The sequence below is a fragment of the Homo sapiens genome, chromosome 13 (genome assembly GCF_000001405.40).
Source record: "Homo sapiens chromosome 13, GRCh38.p14 Primary Assembly".
NCBI lineage: Eukaryota > Metazoa > Chordata > Mammalia > Primates > Hominidae > Homo > Homo sapiens.
In genome coordinates, this window is record NC_000013.11 from 49,725,354 (window position 1) to 49,749,603 (window position 24,250).

A 24,250-nucleotide genomic window follows, 5' to 3' on the forward strand; every position below is an offset into this window, starting at 1 on the left:
AAACTCTACTTCCTTGCCATCATTAAAACACAAAAAGTTCAGACAGTAAGGAATTTACTTACTAGACTGCACAACAGCTTGAGTCTGTGCAGAAGTTCCTGATGCTATGTTAGTTAATGCCCAAGCAGCTTCAAACTGTAATGAAGGACTGTAAAAAAACAATAACACATCTTTTTAGACACATAACTACCACTTAAATTAATGAATCTTAAGACTGATAAGATATGGCTATTCTTTGCCTTGTCCTTGAATTTCACCTTGTTATAATCCAATTGCCTGCTAGCCAACCCTACTTTTTTTTTTTTTTTGAGATGGAGTCTCCCTCCATCACCCAGGCGGGAGTGCAGTGGCGCCATCTTGACTCATTGCAATCTCTGCCTCTGGGGTTCAAGTGATTCTCGTCTCCACCTCCCAAGTAGCTGGGATTACAGGTGCACATCACCACACCTGGCTCATTTTTGTACTTTTAGTAGAGATAGGGTTTCACTATGTTGGCCAGGCTGGTCCTGAACCCCTGACTTCAGGTGATCTGCCCACCTCGGCTTCCCAAAGTGCTGGGATTATAGGCATGAGCCACTGCACCCAGCAGCCATCTCTACTTAAAAAATCTCTTTGGCTCCCAAAGCCAGTCACTATGAACCTGCTTCTTTATGTCCACTGGTATTACAACATTTAGCCAGTCATTATTTCCCTTGACTTCGACTTCCTCTCCACAGACACATCTAATCAATATATCATGTCGATTTTACCTCTTAAACATTTCTTACATTTATATAATCACCCCTAATATCAAGTGCTAGTTGAGGCCCTCATCATCTCACTTTAACCACTATCACACGCTCTAGGCTGGTCTTAAAGCTAGAACCCCATCTGTCTCCATTACACCATCTGCTTTACATACTAGGGATATTACAAGGCTGTATAATTTTGTTGAAAAAACAAGATCATTATATTTTCGAATAGTAATGGAAGACCTCACAAAGAAAGTGACAACTGAACTAGCTTTTCAAAGATGGATTTAAAAAGAAAGGCAGTGACAGTGGGAAATAAAACAGGTATCATGCATGGAAGGATCATGATGTGTAGGAACGACAAGGATTAGATCAAGAGAGCTGAAACTAACTAAGAAGCAAGTAACAGGGTGTTTGTGCATGTGTGTGTGTGTTTCAGGATGGGAGTGAGGAGTGTATTCTACAGATATGCTAAGGATGGGGCATTGAAAAAGGGAGGAAAGAAAATAATGTTCAAATCAATGGTATGCAGAATGGCTAAAAAAGGTTAAAGGCTGATATAGGAGAGACCTATTAAAAGACATGTTGGGGCTTACACCTGTAGTCCCAGCACTTTGGGAGGCTGAGGCAGGCAGATCGCTTGAGCCAAAAAGTTCGAAACCAGCCTGGGCAACACGGTGAGACCCCATTTTTACAAAAAATAAAAAAATCAGCCAGATGTGGTGGTACACACCTGTAGTCCCAGCTACTTGGGATGCTGGGCGGGGGTGGGATGGGGGGATTGCTTGAGCCTAGGAGTTTGAGGATTCAATGAGCTGTGATTGTGTCACTGCACTCCAGCCTGGGTGACAGAGTGAAACCCTGTCACAAAAAAGACATAAAGGAAAGACCTGTTAAAAGGAAATGATAGATATTAAGTTAGGATAGCTGAAAGAGTACAAATTCCCTTAAGTGGAATACCAAGGATTGGGGGGATTTAGTCAGCAAAAATTAAGATTAGACAAAGGTTAGGGAGTTTGAAGAAAAGCCTATAAACAGGGAAGAGAGCAAGCAAGGTTGTTAGTATCAAAAGGTTAAAGAAGTCCGGGCAAGGTGGTTCACACCTGTAACCCCAGCACTTTGGGAGGCCAAGGCAGATGGATCACCTGAGGTCGGGAGTTTGAAACCAGCCTGGCCAACATGGCAAAACCCCCTCTCTACTAAAAATACAAAAATTAGCTGGACATGATGGTGCGTGCCTATAATCCCAGCTGCTCGGGAGGCTGAGGCAGGAGAATCCCTTGAACCCAGGAGGCGGAGGTTGTGGTGAGCTGAGATTGCACCACTGCACTCCAGCCTGGGCGACAGAGAGAGATTCCATCTCAAAAAAAAAAAAAAAAGAAAGAAAAAAGAGAAAAAAGGTTGAAGAGATCCAAGAACAAAAGGTTTTAAGGAGAATAGATGTCAGAGATATAGCAAATAGTGATATACAGGTTAAAAAGATGGAACATATGAGAAAATGAAGTAGCAGAGAAGAACTATGAGGGGACTTTAAAAAACTCATTAAAAATGTGTATTATGAAAAAAACTCCATGGATTTCAATTTTTTTGCACCAAAATAAACTCATACTAACTTTCTATACACGTCTGAACATGATCTAGTTTGAGGCACTAAGAGGGGTAAGGGGTAAGTCATCAATCTGAAAAGAGCCCCTAGAAGAGCAACATGAATCCTGCTAAAATTAAAGCAAAAACAAACATCAAATTTATGGTGAAGCTTGGGTGAAATAATGGTGAACTCACTGATGTACTTAAAACTTTACGGGGAAAATGCCCCCAAAGAAATCAGCGGTTTACAAATGGTTAACTCCTTTTAAGAAGGGACAAGTCGGCCGGGCATGGTGGCTCACGCCTGTAATCCCAGCACTTTAGGAGGCTGAGGCAGGCGGATCACGAGGTAAGGAGATCGAGACCATCCTGGCTAACACGGTGAAACCCCATCTCTATTAAAAATACAAAAAGTCAGCCGGGCGTGGTGGCAGGCACCTGTAGACCCAGCTACTCGGGAGGCTGAGGCAGGAGAATGGTGTGAACCCAGGAGGCGGAGCTTGCAGTGAGCTGATATCGTGCCACTGCACTCCAGCCTGGGCGACAGAGCGAGACTCTGTCTCAAAAAAAAAAAAAAAAAGGACAAGTCGATGTTGAAGATGAAATCCACAGCGGCAAACAATCAACAACAATATCTGAGGAAAAGATTAATCTTGGTCGTGCCCTAACAGAAGATGATTGCTGATTAACAGCAGAAACAATAACCAATACCAGACATCTTGATTGGTTCAGCTTACAAAATTATGACTGAAAAATTAAAGTTGAGCAAACTTTCCCCTTGATAGGTGTCAAAACCATTGTGCCCAGATAAGCCGTAGACAACAGCAGAGCTTCCAATGAAAATTTTAAACCAGAGGGATCAAGATCCTGAAGTATTTCTTCAAGGAATTGTAAAAGGAGATGAAACATGGCTTTCCCAGTATGATCCTAAAGACAAAGTACAATCGAAGCAAAAGTGGACTGGTCAGGAGGAAAGGTAATGACTAAAAAGTTTTTGGGGATGCTCAAGGTATTATTCTTGTTGACCTTCTAGAGGGCCAAAGAATGATAACACCTGCTTATTATGAGAGTGTTTTGAGAAAGTCAGCCAAAGCTTTAGCAGAAAAAAGCCTGAGAGAGCTTTACCAGAGAGTCTTTCTCCACCACAATGTTTCTGTTCATTCTGCTCATCAAACAAGAGCAATTTTGCAAGAGAATCAATAGGAAATCATTAGGTATCCACCTTACAGTTCTGATTTGGCCATCTTGTGACTTCTTTTTGTTTCCTAATCTTAAAAAAACAACCTGTAAAGGGCATCTAGTTTTCTTCAGTTAATATCATGAAAAAGACTGCGCTGACATGGTTAAATTCCCAGGACCCTCAGTTCTTTAGGGATAGACAATGGCTGGTAGTATCACTTACAAAAGTGTCTTGACCTTGATGGAGCTTATGTTGAGAAATCAAGTTTATATATTTATTATCTTTCATATATTTTATTGTCTTTTGATTCCACTTTTCCACAAACTTTTAAAATTTCCCCTGTATATGATGAATTCTAGCAGAAGGCAGGAAATAAGATGGTATATCAGAGGCAGGGAAGAAGTAAAAAAAACAGTAAGATCAAAAACAGTAAGACAGTATATGTTGCCTCAGACTGGAAGGAGAAAGTTATTAAGCTGGTTAGGTGGTTTGGCAAAATACTGGGAATGGGGGACTTAAATGAGAAAATGGATAAATGTAAAAAATAAAATTATAAAGCCAAAGAAAGTCTTTCAAGATGTCATGTGGAAAAATAAAAAAAAATGAGAAAAGATATAGAAAAAACGAGTGCAATAACAAATGGACATTTATGGCCGAGTGCGGTGGCTCACGCCTGTAATCCCAGCACTTTGAGAGGCCGAGGTGGGTGGATCACAAGGTCAGGAGATCGAGACCATCCTGTGAATGGTGAAACCCCATCTCTACTAGAAATAAAAAAATTAGCTGGGCGTGGTGGCAGGCGCCTGTAGCCCCAGCTACTCGGGAGGCTGAGGCAGGAGAATGGCGTGAACCCAGGAAGCGGAGCTTGCAGTGAGCCAAGATTGTGCCACTGCACTCCAGCCTGGGCAACAGAGCGAGACTCGGTCTCAAAAAAATAAATAAATAAAAATAAAAAATAAATGGACATTTATCATAAGTTTGACATTGTGTAGAGTGCTTTGTATGTATTATTTCCATTCCTTACCATCACCTAATTTTTATAGATGAGATAGCTGAGGTTCAAAAGCCACGTGGATTTTTATCAACAGCAAACCCTGGATTTGAACCACAGTCAATCTGGCTCCAAAGTATATGGCCTTTTACATTATAACACAACTTCCCATGACAAATCCATAAAGTCAGATCCAAATCACGGAAAATTTTCTGTTTTTGCTTTGGGTGGTGGTTACAGAGGTCTGAGTTTCATAATTATTCATTAAGCTGTATATATTTTAGCATATTTTTCTGTATTATATGTTATGTTTCATAGACACAGACACACAAATGAGTCTACATATAAAAGACTGGAAAGAAAAGGAAAAAAAGAAGAAGAGAAGTTGGCCACAAACAAGGGGCCCTAGGCCGGGCCCAGTGGCTCATGCCTGTAATGTCTGCACTTTGGGAGGCTAAGGCAGGAGGATCACCTGATGTCAAGAGTTCAAGACCAGCCTGGCCAACATGGTGAAACCCCATCTATACTAAAAATACAAAAATTAGCCACACCTGTAATCCCAGCTACTCAAAGAGGCTGAGGCATGAGAATCGCTTGAACCCGGGAGGCAGACATTGCAGTGAGCCAAGATTGCACCACTGCACTCTACCCTGGGCAACAGAGCGAGACTCTGTCTCAAAAAAAAAAAAAAAAAAAAAAAAAAAAAAAAAAAAGAACAACTGGAGGGTCCTAAAGGTAGAAGTAGAATAGAACTTATTTATTTATTTATTTTATTTTATTTTTATTATTATTATACTTTAAGTTTTAGGGTACATGTGCACAATGTGCAGGTTAGTTACATATGTATACATGTGCCATGCTGGTGTGCTGCACCCATTAACTCGTCATTCAGCATTAGGTATATCTCCTAATGCTATCCCTCCCCCCTCCCCCCTATTTATTCATTTATTTTGAGACGGAGTCTTGCTCTGTCGCCCAGGCTGGAGTGCAGTGGTGCGATCTCGGCTCACCGCAACCTCCGCCTCCCAGGTTCACACCATTCTCCTGCCTCAGCCTCCCAAGTAGCTGGGACTACATGCGCCTGCCACCACGCCCGGCTGATTTTTTTTAATATTTTTTAATAGAGACAGGGTTTCACCACGTTAGCCAGGATGGTCTCGATCTCCTGACCTCATGACCCACCTGCCTCAGCCTCCCAAAGTGCTGAGACTACAGGTGTGAGCCACTGCACCCAGCCGAATTTATTTTTTGAGTCAGGGTCTTGCTCTGTTACCCAGGCTGGAGTGCAATGGCATGATATTGGCTCAGGACAACCTCCACATTCCAGGCTCAAACGATCCTCCTACCTCAGCCTCCCAAGTAGCTGGGACTATAGGCATGTGCCACCATGCCTGGCTAATTTTCGTGTTTTTTTTTTTTTTTTTTTTGTAGAGCTGGGATGTTACCATGTTGCCCAGGCTGCTCTCGAACTCCTGGACTCAAGCGATCCACCTACCTCGGCCTCCCAAAGTGCTGGGATTACAGGCGTGAGCCACTGCGTCCAGCCAGAATTTATTTTTTCAACAGCTAAAATAAAACTTACCTTTACTTAAGTAACACTGTTACAGAAAACAAACATGATAGTATTTTAAAAAGTGTTACAGGCCTGGGGGTGGAAAGTGGGAGAGGTTGTGGCACACAACGAAAGCAAATGGTATTTTTAAATACTAAAAACCCTTAGTGGCAACATTTATATACCACTATTCTTATCTAGCCAACTGAAAATTCCTTGGACAACATTTAGCAAAATATCCCAAGTTTCAGTCTAGATGCTCTTAAATGCAAAAAAAAAGCATTTGTTTTAATATGTTTTGGAGTTCAAACTTATATTCTCCCCAGTTAATCCAAATTAACAAAGTTTAAGGCACAGCACTGAGATATCACTAAACAAAAATGGAAATAGGGCCAGTTCCTCAAAAGATATCCAGTGGAGTTTTACTCCTTCTCTCCTGGGTAAATATAACCTGTCCCCTTATTCTTAATTTGCAGCAAACAAAAAGTCTGACATTGGACAACTTATCATGGATGAAGTTCTGTTAAAGACAACACAGAGGATCAGTAATCAGCTGGAAGATTCCCAGGGTAAGAAAGAGCCACTTAGTTCTGGAAACCATCCATGTTGACTTAGTCATGAGGTTAATCTATATATAGGCTCATAAGCAAAGAGTGACTCAAACATTATTTGGGTTGTTTTAAAATATTAGTAATAAAAAATCCTAATAAAGACTATAAATATTTGAGATAAGTTAAAACAGGCAATAAACAGGAGATAAAAATTTCCTAGAAAACATACACATCCTTCAGAAATGAAAACGAGAAGCACTCTGGGTCTGCTAAATATGATCACAGAATAAGAAAATTAAATTAAAATATATGACGATTGAAAAACATCATAAGTACAAAACCAAACTGAACTCACTGGTTAAGTAATAATCCAAACTTTTAAGTTAACTGAAAAAAACTGAATAGGGAGTAAAATCCATACTTACTTATCATCCCTTTCTAGACATTTGACTAGAATTGGTAAAATCCCAGATTTTATTAAGTCATCAATCGGTGGATTTCTGTCACTGGATAACAGTTTTCTAGGAAAATAAATATGAGAAATTAATTGCTATAATTTTCAAACTGTGAAAAGAAATAACAACATATTAACTTCTAGACTACCAGGTAACACAACTGAGGAATGACATAATTCTCTCTCTAGACAAATTAGTATTTACCTTGCTGCCTGGACAGCACTCAATTGGACCACTGGGTTATCACTTGTGGCATTCTGCAATACCAAATGTAAATTTCAGAAATGAAAAAAAAAAAATCAATTTCAAAATACTTCAAAACGAGAGTATTAATTTAGTAACATACCTGCAATATAGCTTCTAGGGTTACATTTTGCTTAAAAAGAAAAAAAAAATAGTTCAGCAGAGTTTATTAACAAAATTACATTCATTAAACAGTGTACCTGAGTTAATATACTTTCATTATCATTATAAAGTTGGTCTTATATTAAAAATGAAGTTCTCACAGTTACTATAAAAATTATTTTAAAATCACTATTAAAACATGGTAACTTACTGCTTTAAAATCAGCATCAACATCTGAATCTTCTAGACTTTCTTCTTGGGGAACATTTCTCTTTTTCAATAAGTGTTCATCTCTTTTGTTCTGAAAGGCAACCAATAAATGCTTAAGAAGTCATAAGGACTACTGTTAATGAAAAATCCATTAAAACTACTTCAACTTTATTAGGCAATTATGAAACAAATACTGAACACATAAGGATAATATGAATTAAATGTGCATACTGCAAACCAATGACAAGGGTCACATTCTGGCTTCGGTAACAAAATTTCCTGGCTGGCTTTTACACACACACACTTCATTAAGCACCCACTGTGGTGTTTTTTTTTTTTTTTTTTTTTGGAGACAAGAGTCTTGCTCTGTCACCCAGTCTGGAGTGCAGTGGCACAATCTCAGCTCACTTCCAACCTCTGCTTCCTGGGTTCAGGTGATTCTCGTGCCTCAAACTCCTGAGTAGCTGGGATTACAGTCGTGCGCCACCACACCTGGCTAATTTTTATATTTTTAGTAGAGATGTGTTTTTGCCGTGTTGGCCAGGCTGATCTCAAACTCCTGGCCTCAAGTGATCCGCTTGCCGCGGCCTCCCAAAGTGCTGGGATTACAAGCGTGAGCCACTGCGCCTTGCCTATTTGCGTAAGTTTGCTCATACTTAAATTGTAGATTGTTTGCAAAAATGGCAGTAATTCCCCTTCCCATATCCAGTCCCGCACTGACTGTAGGCATGGCTGTGTGACTTGCTTTGGCAATGGGACATTAAGCAAACAGACTTGAAAAGTGCTTACACATCAGGGACAGGTTCTCTTTTGCAACTTTTTTCCTGAAATCACCTTGTGAACACTGAGCCATGGAGAATAAGACTGTGTGGACAACAAACAAGTCCCAGCCAAGTTACCTGAGACCATGTTAGATCATCTAGTCACCAACCAACCCTGTCAGCTGACCAGAGACAGTAAGGGAAGCCTGCAGAAAACAGTTGAACTGGCCTGTGCCAGAAAACCCACTCTGCCAACCCACAAAATTGTTAGCTCAATAAAATGGCTATTGTTTTAAGCTACATAGTTTGGAGTGGTGTATTATGAAGCAAAAAACTAGATGATGCACTCATGTTTTTAAATTTATGCTGTATTTAAATTAATAAGACTTCTAAAATTCCTGGTATTTTGTTGTTGTTCCTTCTCTCTACTTGCTATAAATTTGTCTCCTGAATTACCACTTTAACTGTATTCTACAGGTTCTGACATATAATAGTTTTCCTACTGTTCATTTTTAGGTATTCCTAGAATCCATTAAGATTTCTTTTATACTCAATATATTCAATATATTCAGACATACTTTAAAACGTTCACAACTATGAGGTTTTTGTAACTGTCTTATTCAGTGATTTCTAATTTAATTACATTGAAGTCAGAGAACATGTATGTACAATACACTGAAATTAGCTGACATCTGCTTTATACCAGAAGTTCCCAAACTTTCTCAGTCCACAGTGTACGCCAAAGTAGTCATTTGGGAAAAAGAAAAGAAAAACAAATAAACTAAAAGAAAAAATTATTTCACTCTTAGATAAAATAATTGTAGAAAGGAATGTAGTGTTATTTAAGTGTTTAAACTGTGGACTACCTCGAGATCTAATAGTTCTGTGGTGTCTGAAAGATGTCACTGTATTTCTCTCAAAACTGAAATATCCCAAAGACCCTTTCAGGTCACTGTGGAGCCCCATGTTACCTCAGCGCAGAGTTTGGAAACTACATCTTATTCTATCATAAAACCAGTTTCCAAACACATATGTGGTTTTACATGTGTCTATTAGTTAAAATTTGTGAATTAAATTATTCAAATTTTCTATCTCTTCTTGTGTTTATTCATTACTAAGAAAATCTCCCACAATGATTATATCTTTGATGAATTTCCCCTTCTAATTTTGCAAATTTTGACTTTATATATATATATATACACACACATATATATATATATATAGAGAGAGAGATAGATAGAGAGAGAGAGAGAGAGAGACATTCTATTAGGCATATACTAGTTTAGAGCTATTATAGCTTCTTTGTAAATTATTTCTTTTATCAAACATTGGGTAACAACCCCTGCATTTAAATTGAAAACATCCTAACATAGACCAAAATATCTATGGCACAAGAACCATATTTACTTATTTTTTATTTTTTAGATGGAGTTTTTGCTCTTGTTGCCCAGGCTGCAGTGCAATGGTGCGATCTCAGCTCACTGCAACCTCCACCTCCCGGGTTCAAGTGATTCTCCTGCCTCAGCCTCCTGAATAGCTGGGATTACAGGCATGCGCCTCCATACCCGGCTAATTTTGTATTTTTAGTAGAGACGGGGTTTCTCCATGTTGGTCAGGCTGGTCTCGAACTCCTGACCTCAGGTGATCCGCCCACCTCAGCCTCCAAAAGTGGTAGGGTTACAGTCGTGAGCCACCGCGCCCGCCCCATACTTTACTCTTAACAAAAATATGTACAAGCCAAGGAAAAATAATCACTGGGCAGGTTTCTAATGGTCAGATTAATCATTAAAACCAGTAACTTAAACTGTCCCTTCAGTTGATACCTAGAGATTTTTACCCTCCTGAAAACTGCACTACAATAAATTCAGCATCCGTAAAGGGTATACTTTTCTTTTGTCAGGTGAGAAAGCAGCTCAGGGGTTATGGGAACTTACCTAATTTCAACACCCAACCAATCCTTAAACACACATATGGATTAAATGGATTTCTTAAATTCCTTTAAAAATCCATTATTAATCTATTATCCACGTATGCATGTATCTACCTAGCCCTTTTGGATCTTCTGTTTTTTACTAGGTTGAACCACATGAACTGCTTTGTAGGTCAAAGCAGTTAACTATGGGCGATTTCTTATAACCCAACTTAATATATTGTTTGAGTTAGTAAGTTCTGTATGTTATTAAACTCTATATAAAGTACTTCCTTTTCATTCCCAAATTCCTCTTTCCACCTTGAAAAACTGGCTTGCAATTCTATACCTAAACTTGTGGAGCAAGTTTGATGCCAATTCTTTTAAATCTTATGAAAAGGATAATTACATTATTTATCAGCCCCCTTTCAAGCTTGAAATAAGTAATTAAATCTGTTTTTATCCAATAATACCCTCACTTTAAATCTTCATCTAGTTTAGGTTTTAGTTCCTTGGGTTTTGTTTTGTTTTTTAAGAAATAGTCCAACCCTGGTTGCATCTAAATGCTTTTAATGAGGTAGGAAAATATACTCAATGAAAATTCCCCTCAATATTAACATTTATGAAATGATATTACTGCTGGGTGACTACATGGATATTCACCCACAAGTTTTATAAGTTATATTTATGTTTTGGGCACTCTGTTCAGTGTGTTATGCTTTGATTAAAACAAATTTTTTAAAATAACACTACTGGTTCATGAATCATGTTAAGAACTGACAATCTAATGCATGTTTCTTTTTTCCCTGCAGGATCATTTAATTCATCTTATCAAATAGCTGCTTTTTTCGATACTAACTTAGACTTTTTTTGGTAACTGAAATTTTTATTGAGATAATTGTATATTCACATGCAGTTATAAGAATATGGAGAGATCCCTTGTATGCTTTGCCCAGGTTACCCCAAAGGTAACACTTTGCAAAACTATAGTACAGTATCACAACTGGGATACTGACATTGATACAATCCACTTATTTTATTCAGACTTCTCGTTTTACATGTATTTGCATGTGTGTGTGTGTATTACATCCCATACAATTTTATCACCTGTATAGATTCATGTTATCTACCACCACAGTCAAGATGGTAAACACTTCCAAAAACACAAGATGCATTCCTCCTTTTATAAGCAAAATCAACTCCTTCTCATCTGACACCGTATATAACCCTTGGCAACTACTAACCTGTCTTCCATTTCTAAAATTTTATCATTTCAAAAATTTTATATAAATGGGATCGTATGGTATATAACCTTTTTATGACAGAATTATAGGCTCAGTATAATTGTCTGGAGATTTATATAAATTGTTGCTTGTATCAACAATTGTTGCTTATATAATTGTTCATTTTTATTGCCAAATAGTATTTCATCATATAGATATACTGTAGACATATTACAGTATGTCTATTTACCCATTAAAGGCCATCTGTGTTGTTTCTAAGTTTTGGCTATTAAAAAATAAAGTTGCTATATAGACATGCATGTACAGATTTCATATGAATACAAATCTTCCTTTCTCTGAGATCAATGTCCAGGATTGTAAGCACTGGGTTATACAGAGGTTGCATGTTTAGACAAAAAACTGACAAACTGTTTTCCGGAGTGACTGTACCATTTTACATTTCCACCACTAACATGAGTGATCAGTTTCTCCACATCTTCGCCAGCATTTGGTGTTGTCACTACTGTTTATTTTAGCTGTTCTGATAGATGTGTAGTTGTGGCTTTAATCTCTATTTCCCTAATAGCTAACGATGCTGAACATCTTTTCATGTGCTTATTTAATATCTGTATGTCCTCCTTTCAATGAAATGACTCTTCACATCTTTTTAAATTAGACTGTTTTGTTTTTTCTTACTATTAAGTGTGTGTGTCTGTGTGTGTGTGTGTGTGTGTGTGTGTGTGTGTGTGTGTGTGTGTGTGTGTAAGAGCCAGGGGTCTCACTATGTTGCCCAGGCTAGAGTGCAGTGACTGTCCATAGGCAACATCATAGCATACTGCAGCCTCCAACTCCCGGGCTCAAGAGTTGTTTTTGCCTCAGCCTCCTGAGTAGCTGGGAATACAGGTGTTATGCCACTGCACCTGGCTCTTACTGCTGAGTTCTGAGAGTTCATTGTATGTGCTGGATACTAGTCTTTTACTGAATACGTGGTTTAACAGATATTTTCTTCCAATATCTAACTTGTCTTTTCTATCTTTTCATATGGGCTCTCACACAGCAAAATTTTTAATTTAATCAGGTCCAATTTATCAATTGTTTCTTTTATGGATTAGGCTTTCGTGGCCAAATATAGCTCTTTGTCTCCAGATCCAGAAAATTCTCTATGTTTTTTCCTAAAACTTTTATAGCTTTGTGCTTTACATTTAATTCTATAATCCATTTTGTATTTTTGCATAAGGTGTGAAGTTTAGGCTCATCATTTTTGAAAAAGCTGTCCTTCCCTCCATTGAATTGGTTTTGTAACTGCTAAAAATCAGCTGGAGGTATTTGTGCAGGTGTATTTCTGGGTTATATTTTCTGTTCCATGGTCTATGTCTTTCCTTCTACCAATAACACACAGTATTGATTACTATGGCTATATACTATAAGCTTTCATATTGCGTGAAGTAATTTCCCCTTTTTTCTTGTCAAGATTGTTTTAGCTATTCTAGAGACTGTGTCTTTCCATACACATTTTTAAATGTCTATCTATGTCCACAAAATATCTTGGTTGAATTTCAATAGGAAATGCATTAAACCAACAGATCAATTTAGGGAGAATCAATGTCATTATTACGTTGAGGCTTCCAATCCAAGAACACAGTATACATCTCTCCATTTACTTGTCTTGTTTCATGTCTTTCACCAGCATTTTGTAATATTCACTGTATAAATCCTGTACATGTTTGTTAATATATACTGAAGTATTTTATTTTCTTTGAATTGTCTAAAAATTGTATTGTTTTTAATTTTGGTTTCTGCATGTTCAGCATATATAAATGCGACTGATTTCTTTATTCTGTGACCTTGCTAAACTCACCTGTTAGTTCCAGGAGCTTTCTGATAGATTCCTTGGGATGTTCTACATAGATAATCACATTATCTGCAAATACGGACAGTTTTAGTTCTTCCTTTACAAACTACATACCTTTCATTTCTTTTTCTTGCCTTATATGGCACTGGCTAGAACTTCCAGCATTATACTGAATAAGAGCAGTTATGATGGACTTCCTCACCTTGCTTCTGAATCTCAGGGGAAAGCATTTAGTCTTTCACCATTAAGTGTGATGTTAGCTGTGAGGTTTTTGTGGTGCTCTTTACCAAGATGAGGCAATTCCTTTCTATTCCTTTTATCAGAAATGAGTAACTGATATGATCATATTTTTCTTTTTTGGCTTATTAATATGGGGGAATTTAGAGTATTTTTAAAAGATCTTTCAAACAATTAACTAAACAAGTACTGGATCTTATCAAGCAAGTGGGGCACTTGGGTGGATTTTTTCTTTATGTAGGATCTTAAACTTGCCTCACCTCCAAATCTACTGAAAATAAGGGCCTATGGCCTGACTGACCAATCATCAAGAAAAGATTAGGTCAAATTTAATATAATGTGCCAAAAGTTGAAAATATAAGTAACAGGTTTTGGGCTCATTCTCAACCCACGAAGCATTATTCAACCAACACACATGTATTTTGAGAGGCATTATAGCATAATGGTAAGAGCTCTGCCATTTATTAGCTTGTGACTATGCAAGTTACTTAATTCCTACATAACTCTGTCTACAATGTGATGAAAAAAAAGAGGTACAGATGTGTGTTTAAGTGTTGATGCATAAAAGCCTCTCTAAATTGGGAAGAAAGAGAGCAAGGAGGTAAAAGAAAAAACAATTCACACGAAAGGAGTCAGAGGCCAGGTAAACAGTACCTATTAATAAACAGATGTCATCTGTCATCCTCAATTTTGACGGATCAGTATCTGTTATTTGAAGTGTGATCCTTACACTAGTTAATAATTCTCAAACTGTTTGTTACAGTTCTGCTACAAGATAAGGAGCTTTTACCTTCAGGGTGATAAGCCTCTAAAGTAACAAAAAAAGGTGGGGAGGTGAGCTTGTGCCAGAATGTAAACCAACTGTGAAACTAAGCACACTGTTTAGTTCAGCTCTTTATTTAGACAGAAAGACCTGCTTTAAACATATTATTTTTAAAAAGTTGACAAAAATTCTATATATGTATTGAGTAAAACATGATGATCTGAAATATGTATAAGCTGTGGAATAATAGCTATGAGTTAATAAACACAGCTGAGTGCAGTGGCTCATGCCTGTAATCCCAGAACTTTGGGAGGCTGAGGCGGGCAGATTGCTTGAGCTCAGAAGTTCAAGACCAGCCTGGGCAACATGGCGAAATCCCGTATCTACCAAAAATACAAAAAATTAGCTGAGCAAACTGGTGAGCACCTGTGGTCTCAGCTACCCAGGAGGGTAGGAGAATTGCTTGAGCCTGGGAGGCAGAAGTTGCAGCGAGCCAAGATTGTGCCACTGCACTCCAACTTGGGTGACAGAATGAGACCCCATCTCAGAAAAAAAAAAAAAAATTAACACATGCATTACCTTACATTTCATTTTTGTGTGTGTGGTGAAAACACTTAAAATCTACTGTCAGTGATTTTTCAAGAATATAACACATTGTTATTAACTATAGTTCATAACCATGTGATATGGTTTGGCTGTATTCCCACCCAAATCTCATCTTGAATTGTAACTCCCACAATTCCCGTGTGCCGTGGGAGGTGATTAAATTATGGGGGTGGGTCTTTCCTGCGCTGTTCTCATGATAGTGAATGAGTGTCACAAGATCTGATGGCTTTAAAAACAAGTTTGCCTGCACAAGCTCTCTTGTCTGCTGTCATATGGGATGTGCCTTTCACCTTCTGCCATGATTGTGAGACCTCCCCAGCCACATGGAAGTGTGAGTCCAATAAACCTCTTTCTTTTGTAAATTGCCCAGTTTCAGGTATGTCTTTATCAGCAACGTGAAAACTGACCAATATACCATGTTCTACAGTAAAGGTCTTGAACTTATCCCTCCTATCTAACTGAAATTTTTTATACTTTGAATCAATATCTCCCCAAATCCCTGTACCCCCCACCCCTGGCCCCAGCCCCTGGTAACCACCATCCTACATGAGTCTAGCTTTTTTAGACTCCATGCATAAGTGAGAGCATGTGATACTTGCCTTGTTTGCCTGGCTTATTTCTGGTAATGTAATGTCCTCCAAGTTCATCCACGTTGTTGCAAAAGAGAGGGTTTCTTTCTTTTAAGGCTAAAAAGTATTCCACTATGTATACATACCACATTTTCTTTTTCTATTTGTCTACTGGTGGACATTTGGGCTGATTCCTTATCTCGGGTATTGTGATGCAATAAACATGGGAGTGCAGGTATCTCTTCAACATACTGGCTTCATTTTTCCTTTGGATATATACACAGTAGTGGGATTGCTTGATCACATGGTAGTTCTATTTTTAGGAACTTCCCCATACTGCTTTCTATAATGTCTATACTAATTTACATTCTGACCAAGAGTGTACAAGAGTTTCCTTTTCTCCACATCCTCACCAACATGCGTTATCTTTCATCTTTTTGATAATGGTTATTCTAACAGGTGTAAGATGATATCTCACAGTAGTTTTAATTTTATTTCTCTGATTAGTAATGTTGAACAATTTTTAGTATACCTATTAGCCAGTTCTATGTTTTGAGAATGTTTATTCTGCTCTTTTGCCCTTTTTTTTTTTTTTTGAGATGGAGTCTTGTTCTGTCACCCAGGCTGGAGTGCAGTGGCGTGATCTCGGCTCACTGCAAACTCCGCCTCCCAGGTTCACGCCATTCTCCTGCCTCAGCCTCCCGAGTAGCTGGGACTACAGGCAAATGCCACCACGCCCAGCTAATTTTTTGTATTTTTGGTAGAGATGGGGTTTCACCCGTGTTACCCAGGATGGTCTTGATTTCCTGACCTTGTGATCCGCCCGCCTCGGCCTCCCAAAGTGCTGGGATTATAGGCGTGAGCCACCGTGCCCAATCCTTGCCCATTTTTTAATTGTTAGTTTTCTTGCTATTGAGTTCATTATATATAACCCCTTATCAGATGTATGGTTTGCAAATATTTTCTATAGGTTCTCTCTTTATTAATAGTCTCTTTTGCTGTGCAGAACCTTTTAAATTTGATATAATTGCATCTGTCTATTTTTGTTTTGTTGGCTGTGTTTTTGGGGTCATATCCAGGAAAACATTGCCCAGACCAGTATCATGGAGATTTTCCCCTGTGTTTTCTTCCAGTAGTTTTACAGTTTCACATCTTATGTTTGCATTTTAATCTATTTTGAGTTGATTTTTGTATATGGTGTGAAATAAGGGCCTGGTCTCATTCATCTGCATGTAGATAGCCAGTTTTTCCAAGACCATTTATTGAAAAGACTGTCCTTTCCTGTGGCATGTTCTTGGCACCTTTGTCAAAAATCAACCAACTACAAATTTGTGGATTTATTTCTGGTGAAATAAATTCTTGCGTGTCAGAGCATATCTTTTCAAATATTCACCTTAGTTGCCTTAGACACCCCTTTCTTTTTTTCTGTATAACATTATTTCCTTTCCAGTTACTATGGTTCGATTTCTGAAAATACTTGTAGTAGGACCAAAAATGAAATTAACTAAAGAAATCTCAAGTAATTTCTTATTTCAAATTTAAGCATTCCCCAAGTAAGCCGTAGAAAGCAAACTTTTCTGTTCCACTGTTCTGTGTGTGTGTTTTTATGTCTCTATCATGCTGTTTTGATTATTATGGCTTTGCAGTAGATTTTCATATCAGGTAGTGTGATGCTTCTGGGTTCATTCTTTTAAGATTGCTTTGGCTATTTGGGGTCTTCTGTGGTTTCATATAAATTTTAGTTTTTTTTTTTCTATTTCTGTGAAAAATGACATTAGAGGTTTGATAGAGATTGCACTGAATCTGTACATCACTTTGGGTAGTACTGATATTTTAATAATACTAATTCTTCCAAATCCGTGAACATGGGATATCTTTCAATTTACTTCTGTCAGAAAGACTCTCTTGAAGGAAGCAGTGCCTTCTTTTACATTTTGGCACAAGCTCCCTAACTTGTCACAGATCAGGACTTTTGAGTAGCACGGCCTATATCTGAAGTATTTGTCTTAAAACTTCAATACATGACTTAAATATAAGTGCATATTTTTAGAGATCATAATTAAATTTAATTCGTGAATATCAGCACTTAATCGACTACATAGCCACAATGTGATTAGGCATTTTGAGATGGGCTAAGAAAGAGACTTAGGAGTTATTTGGGAGGCTGGGGTGGAGGGATGTAGATGGATAGTGAATGTGGTTATTATCTGCACTTTAGAAGCTTACAATCTAAGGGAAAATGAAATATTCAAAGCAAAATCCCATGGAGTAAAGTGAGTTACAATTGACAGATGATATCCACTAGTTTAATTTCTCAGTGAAACTCTGGGGACTAGCTCTCTTTTGTTTTCAAGAATCTCAATGTCACTAAATAAAAACAATGTGATTCTCTCCTCAATGGAGCAATAGAGAGAGCAAGGCCTGGAATCAGGGACAGATACTCTGACCATAAAGAGTGGAAGAATCTTCTCTTGAAGAGCTCTCCACATCTCTGTAAAATCACATCAAAATCAATTAAGTTTTGTCTGAATAAACTTCAGGCGTTGTTTCAGGAAAAGTTTGCTTTCTACTGCTTACTTGGGGAATTCTTAAACTTGAAATAAGAAATTGCTTGAGATTTCTTTAGTTAATTTCATTTTTGGTCCTACTACAAGTATTTTCAGAAATTGAACCTTAGTAACTGGAAAGGAAATAATGTTAGCCAAAAAAAAAAAAAAGAAAGGGGTCTCTAAGGCAACTAAGGTGAATATTTAAAAAGATATGCTGTGACATGCAAGAATTTTTAGTTCTATAAATTAGAGAAGGCAGCACAACAACAGGAGGAGGATCAAGTAACCAAATATAATATATAAATTAGTAGCTTAGATTTATAAGCACATTAGAAGGGCTAAAATGATTAAACAAGAGGAGGCTTCTGAACTAATACAAAAGTTTTAAAGTTGAATTGCAAGCGTGAAAAGTTAAGGAAAAGTAAGGGCCCATATCTGGTGGCAGATGGTGTAATGTTAACAGATGGCAATAATTACTAATTACTTAATTCCAATTTTACTTCTATTGCATCTATTAAAGAAAGTAATCTTCATTTGGTGAATGAAAATCCAGACAAAAAAGGACGCACACTATTCTACCTATATAGAGTTCTAAATATGCAAAATAATCTGTTAGAAATCAGAATAATGGTTACCTTTGGGGATAACCAATACCTAGAAAGAGGCCCTGGGGTATTCTCTTTTTTGATCCAGGAGCTGGTGGTTACACAAATGTGTTCACATTACAAATATTCATCAAGCTGGATACTTACGACGTGTGGACTTTTTGTATGTATGGTGTATGTCAACAAAATGTGAAAAAGAAAAAAAGTTTAAAGTGTTAAGACTGGAAAAAACACCTTACTTTATTAAGCTAAGGCTTAGCTCATTTCTCTGGTCTAAATGACCCAAAGATCTGAAAGAACTTGCAAATATGATTACCAAAGTATTGTTGTGTCCATAAAGGAGTTGACAGGGAATGGGAATTAGCAAGTATTTTTATGCTTATGTTAATGTTTATTATGCTAATGTTTATTAATATACAAAATGATTGATGATTAATAGATAATAGACAAAATAATTCTATCATTAGTTGTTAATCCATTGATGATTGAAACAAAAAAATGATCTTCCTTGTTAATTTCCTAATTTTGGAGCTACTGGACTAATTACATAGAAAATATTCTATGTTGTGAGTAGCTGGAACTACAGGTGCGTGCCACCACACCCAACTAATTTTTGTATTTTTAGTAGAGACAGGGATTCACCATGTTGGCCAGGATGGTCTCGAACTCTTGACCTCAGGTGAATTTTTTGAAATTTAGTAAATATATACTACAACTCTTAGCAAGTATTTTCAAAATTTACTTTTAAAAAGGGGGCGGGGAAAGGGTACAGGAGAATGGATGTCAGGAACTATATACTATACCAATGAGCATGACACTGATTTGCAAAAATTCAAAATATGGTTATTTAAACACTTAGAAAAAATAAGCTAATTTCAATTTATCCTTCAGGTTTCAGCTTAAATGTTATTTCTTCAGACAAGTCACCTTTGAATGCCCAATTTTAAAAAAAACCTCACTCTGTTAACTTTCATGGCTATTTTTCCTCCATAGCATCATCCACAATTTGTAAGGATATATTTGGTTATGTGATTATTTATCTAGTGTTCACCTCCATGAGACAATTGCTCAAATGGTAATGCTTGGTTGAATAACTAAATGCATTTCTGATGAAGACCTTATGAATGTAGTTAAAATGAGCTTCTGGCAATATTGTTGTAAAACTACAGATTTGAAGAGCTACCTAGCCCGTGTATGAAACAAAGTGTGTATTTAAAATAATTCTTAAATAATAAATGCACAAGTCTATTTCTAGTGACTCTAAGAAAATGTGTACTTTCAGAATCAAGACCTCCTTCCTTCTCCCTACAACTGAAAAGTTTCAAGACGGTAATTTTTTTTTTTTTTTGAGACAGAGTCTCGCTCTGTCACCTAGGCTGGAGTGTAGTGGCGTGACCCTGGCTCACTGCAGCCCCTGCCTCCAGGGTTCAAGCAATTCTCCAGCCTCAGCCTCCCGAGTAGCTGGAACTACAGGTGTGTGCCACCACACCCAACTAATTTTTGTATTTTTAGTAGACAGGGTTTCACCATGTTGGCCAGGCTGGTCTCGAACTCTTGACCTCAGGTGATCTGTCCACCTTGGCCTCCCAAAGTGCTGGAATGACGGCATGAGCCACCGCACCCAGCCCAAGATGGTAATTCAATATAGGAAGGAGTTTTAGGAGTGAATTACATGAGGAAAAGTCTAACCTAAGACAAACACCAAAGATCTGAAATAAGTTTTAAATTTATTTTTTAAAAGATATATGTATAGGCCGGGCACGGTGGCTCACGCCTGTAATCCCAGCACTTTGGGAGGCTGAGGCGGGCAGATCACGAGGTCAGGAGATCGAGACCATCCTGGCTAACACGGTGAAACCCCATCTCTACTAAAAATACAAAAAATTAGCCGGACGAGGTGGTGGACGCCTGTAGTCCCAGCTACTTGGGAGGCTGAGGCAGAAGAATGGCATGAACCCGGGAGGCGGAGGTTGCAGTGAGTCGAGATCACAGTACTGCACTCCAGCTTGGGCGACAGAGCGAGACTCTGCATCAGAAAAAAAAAAAAAAAAAAAAGAAACGTGTAAAGAAAGAGAATTCACTATTATTTTCTGGATTAGCAATTTAAATATTTGTTTCAAATAAAATGTGTTCACATGAAAACACAATTTGGGCCAGGCATGGCAGCTCACGCCCGTAATCCCAACAGAAGGACGATTGTTTGAGTCCAGGAATTCAAGGCCAGCCTGGGCAACATAGTGAGACCTAGTCTCTACAAAAAATAAACAAAAATTAGCTGGGTGTGGTGGTGTGCCTGTATTCACAGCTGGGTGTGGTGGTGTGCCTGCATTCATAGCTACTCAGCCAGCTGAGGTGGGAGGATCACTTGAGCCCGGGAGGTCAAGGCTGCAGTGAGCCAAGATCACACCACTTCACTCCAACCTGGACAGAGTGAAACGCTGTCTCAAAAAAAGAAAGAGAAAAAAGAAAACACAATCTGATGAAGGTAACTCTAAAATCCTCCAAAAATAATGGAAGAAAATACAATAAATTTTAATAGCAGTTGCTTTCAGTTGGGAAAACACAAGGTTTTTCTACTTTTCTACTTTTATTTACTTCTGTAAAGTATCTTTAACAAGGATGTGTAACTTTTACATAAGCAAAGGGAGAGGAAGCCCACAGAAAGAGGATGTCAAAGAAAATGTATCTAACTTCATCAGATGTTATGAGAATTTCAGTGATGGTAAAGTGCTTCACACAGGGCCTAGTACCCTCAGTAAATGAAAGCTATTATGAATAAGTACCATGATAAAGTATCCAGTGATGTGTGGTTTTAGGGATGACCACTAATTTGCCACAGTATTTTCATTATTCAAGATACACAGAATTTTAACATCAGAAAAATCTAATTACTTTTCTTTAAATGTAAATCAACCTTACCTTCCGCAGTTCCACTGTCACTTCATTTCTATGTCTTCGCATTGTCTAGAAAAGAAAAACAAAGATTACAGATGTATCAAAATACGGACACTGCTAGTATATAAAGATCTCAGCTGGGTGCAGTGGCTCATGCCTATAATCCTAGCACTTTGGGAGGCCGAGGCGGGCAGATCACTTGAGGTCAGGAGTTCAAAACCAGCTTGGCCAACATGGCGAAACCTAGTCTCTACTAAAAATACAAAAAAAATTAGCCGGGCTTGGTGGCAGGCACCTGTAATCTCAGCTACATGGGAGACTGAGGCAGGAGAACTGCTTGAACCCGGGAGGCGGGGGGATGCAGCAAGCCGAGGTGGCGCCAGTGCACTCCAGGCCTGGGCGACAGAGCGAGACTGCATCTCAAAAAAAAGAAGAAGAAGAAAAAAAAAAACTCAGGTATTTGAGTTAGAAGTCATTTAATATTGGCTGGGTGCAGTGGCTCACACCTGTAATCCCAGCACTTTAGAAGGCTGGAGGATCACTTGGGGCCAGGAGTTCGAGATCAGCCTGGCCAACATGGCAAAACCCCATCTCTACTAAAAATACCAAAATTAGCTGGGTGCAGTAGCACGCCCCTGTACTCCCAGCTACTCCTGGAGGCTGACGCTCAAGAATCGCTTGAACCTGGGAGACGGAGGTTGAAGTGAGCTGAGATCATGCCACTGCACTTTAGCTTGAGTGACAGAGCGAGACTCTGTCTCAAAAAATAAATAAATAAGAAGAAATTTATAATCTCAATGACTGATACATCTTATACTTTAAATGATGAGCTACAATTAGTTAAAAAGCCAAATTCTGTATTTACTGGATATCTGTTGGTTAATTTTGTGGAAGGTGGGACTTGGCTGCCTAGGACCCATTTCCCTGCCCTAACTGTACCCAGTCATCTTTGGGGAATTACATCCTTCCCATCCTGTAGTCTTAATGAGACCTAAAGTGGCTCACTCTCTCCTAGCTTAAGTAGGTCACAAGACTCAACTACACTATCAGAATTATCTCCTCTATAACTCTGAATCTTAAGGAGAAAGGGAAAAAAAGGCACATTAAATTCCAAAGGAAGAATTTTGGACAAGGTAGTAAATAATGCCTATATCCTTGACTTGCTCAATTCCCAGTTCTTCCATTTCTCTACTCATCTTATGAACTACCTTACATTCTTCCAATAAATTATGGTTTTGCTTAAGTCAGCCAGGGATGGTTTCTGATGTCTGCAATCAATGAATTATATCTCTAATGATTCATATTTTTAAAAAGTAAATTCATTGCCATGGCCTTAAAAACATGAAAATAAAAATAAGTTTGAGATAGATGTTTTGTATCAAAAGGTAAGGTATCCTTCTGAGTTTAAGAGGATCTATCAGGCATGCCTTATGGGGAAACACTGAAATAATATATATCTCCCCTCTAACATACTGATATAATGGATTCTTTTATTACACATATAAGCATGGTTACATCTTTATATTATTGGAATAAAGGCTATATGATCATGGTATATTATTATTTTAATATACTGCCAAGGTTCAGTGTGCTATATTTTATTTAATAATTCTTGTGATATCTCTTTCTTAAACCACAGTGATCTTCTTAAGAAAAAAAATCTCATAAAATCCAAATTATAAAGTTTGCTAACTATACTGAAATAATCTAGATATAAACTTAAACTTAAATACAGATATATATTAAATAGAAACAAAACTGCCAAACAAAATTCAAATTAGTCATATTCATTTCATGTGATGGAATTATATACTGATAAAAACTATTATCCCTGATAAGGTTCGACACTAGAAAGAACCTTGAATTTAATTCTATATTTAGTATGTTTCTATATTGTGACTTTAGTACTATTAATACAGAGAATGTCTTACGCATAAGTTCATAAAAATGACAAATGTTGAACAATCTTCAAATACCAACATTAATGAAGTGTTATTTGACAACTCTATAAGCTATCTTTATTCACTGGAAGATTAGAACTCTACCACTGTTAAAAATTTTACCTAAATGAATATTTACTTCAATTTTTCCTATAACTGAAAAGAAAAATATTTTCATTGCAATATTTGCAACACTTAACTATTTATGAATTATTAAAAGATGATGCATAACAAAAAGATCCAGGCAGCATATCTGCTCCAAAATATGATTTTCTGCTCTATCATCTTAATTCACACTAAGATATTTCTGTATAGACAGAATTAGTGAGTTAAATTCTGAAGAACCACACTAAATTAGGAAACCACACTTAAGAGGTGATTAATTTAATGTTTTAAACACCCCTAAACAGGAGTTAGCTCCCAGGTAGTAAGTGCTTCGAATATGAACATCTCAATTTATAGACACTGGTTTGATACTCTGCATAAGGAAAGTTGGAAATAGATTTTTACTGCTAAAGTAGAACAGTTATTCAAGATATACGAATTGACTAGAAATACAGGCACCTCGATTCTTACTTGTTTGGGGTCTAAGAATCCGGCAGGCCCTACAGCACAACTTCAGAGAAGTTTCTGTGTCTAGAAACCCCCTTGATCCTGTGTTCCATCCCTTCTTAGAGAACTGTATCACCTAATCCTAGTCAGAACATTGTGGTATCTGCTTAGGGTTGAAGTTTTCTTA

At 37.7% G+C, this 24,250-nt stretch overlaps 1 protein-coding gene across 2 annotated transcripts in view, besides 1 other annotated feature; it reads right to left on the reverse strand.

Moving 5' to 3' along the window:
- The window catches only part of KPNA3 (karyopherin subunit alpha 3), a 93,363-nt gene that overhangs the window by 26,034 nt on the left and 43,079 nt on the right, over positions 1-24,250 (reverse strand). For both annotated transcript variants that reach the window (NM_002267.4, XM_017020561.2), the window contains exons 2-7: positions 21,596-21,640; positions 7,604-7,693; positions 7,394-7,423; positions 7,252-7,304; positions 7,018-7,113; positions 63-148 (exon numbers count right to left, since the gene is read on the reverse strand). In NM_002267.4, coding sequence (NP_002258.2) covers positions 63-148; positions 7,018-7,113; positions 7,252-7,304; positions 7,394-7,423; positions 7,604-7,693; positions 21,596-21,640 — 400 coding nt within the window. The remainder of the gene's footprint in view (positions 1-62; positions 149-7,017; positions 7,114-7,251; positions 7,305-7,393; positions 7,424-7,603; positions 7,694-21,595; positions 21,641-24,250) is intronic.
- Positions 20,800-21,094: a silencer, noted in NCBI's record as "tiled region #10165; K562 Repressive non-DNase unmatched - State 23:Low". NCBI's record gives its function as "represses a minimal TATA promoter and a strong SV40 promoter by Sharpr-MPRA in K562 cells {active_cell/tissue: K562}" and the evidence as "EXISTENCE:reporter gene assay evidence [ECO:0000049][PMID:27701403]".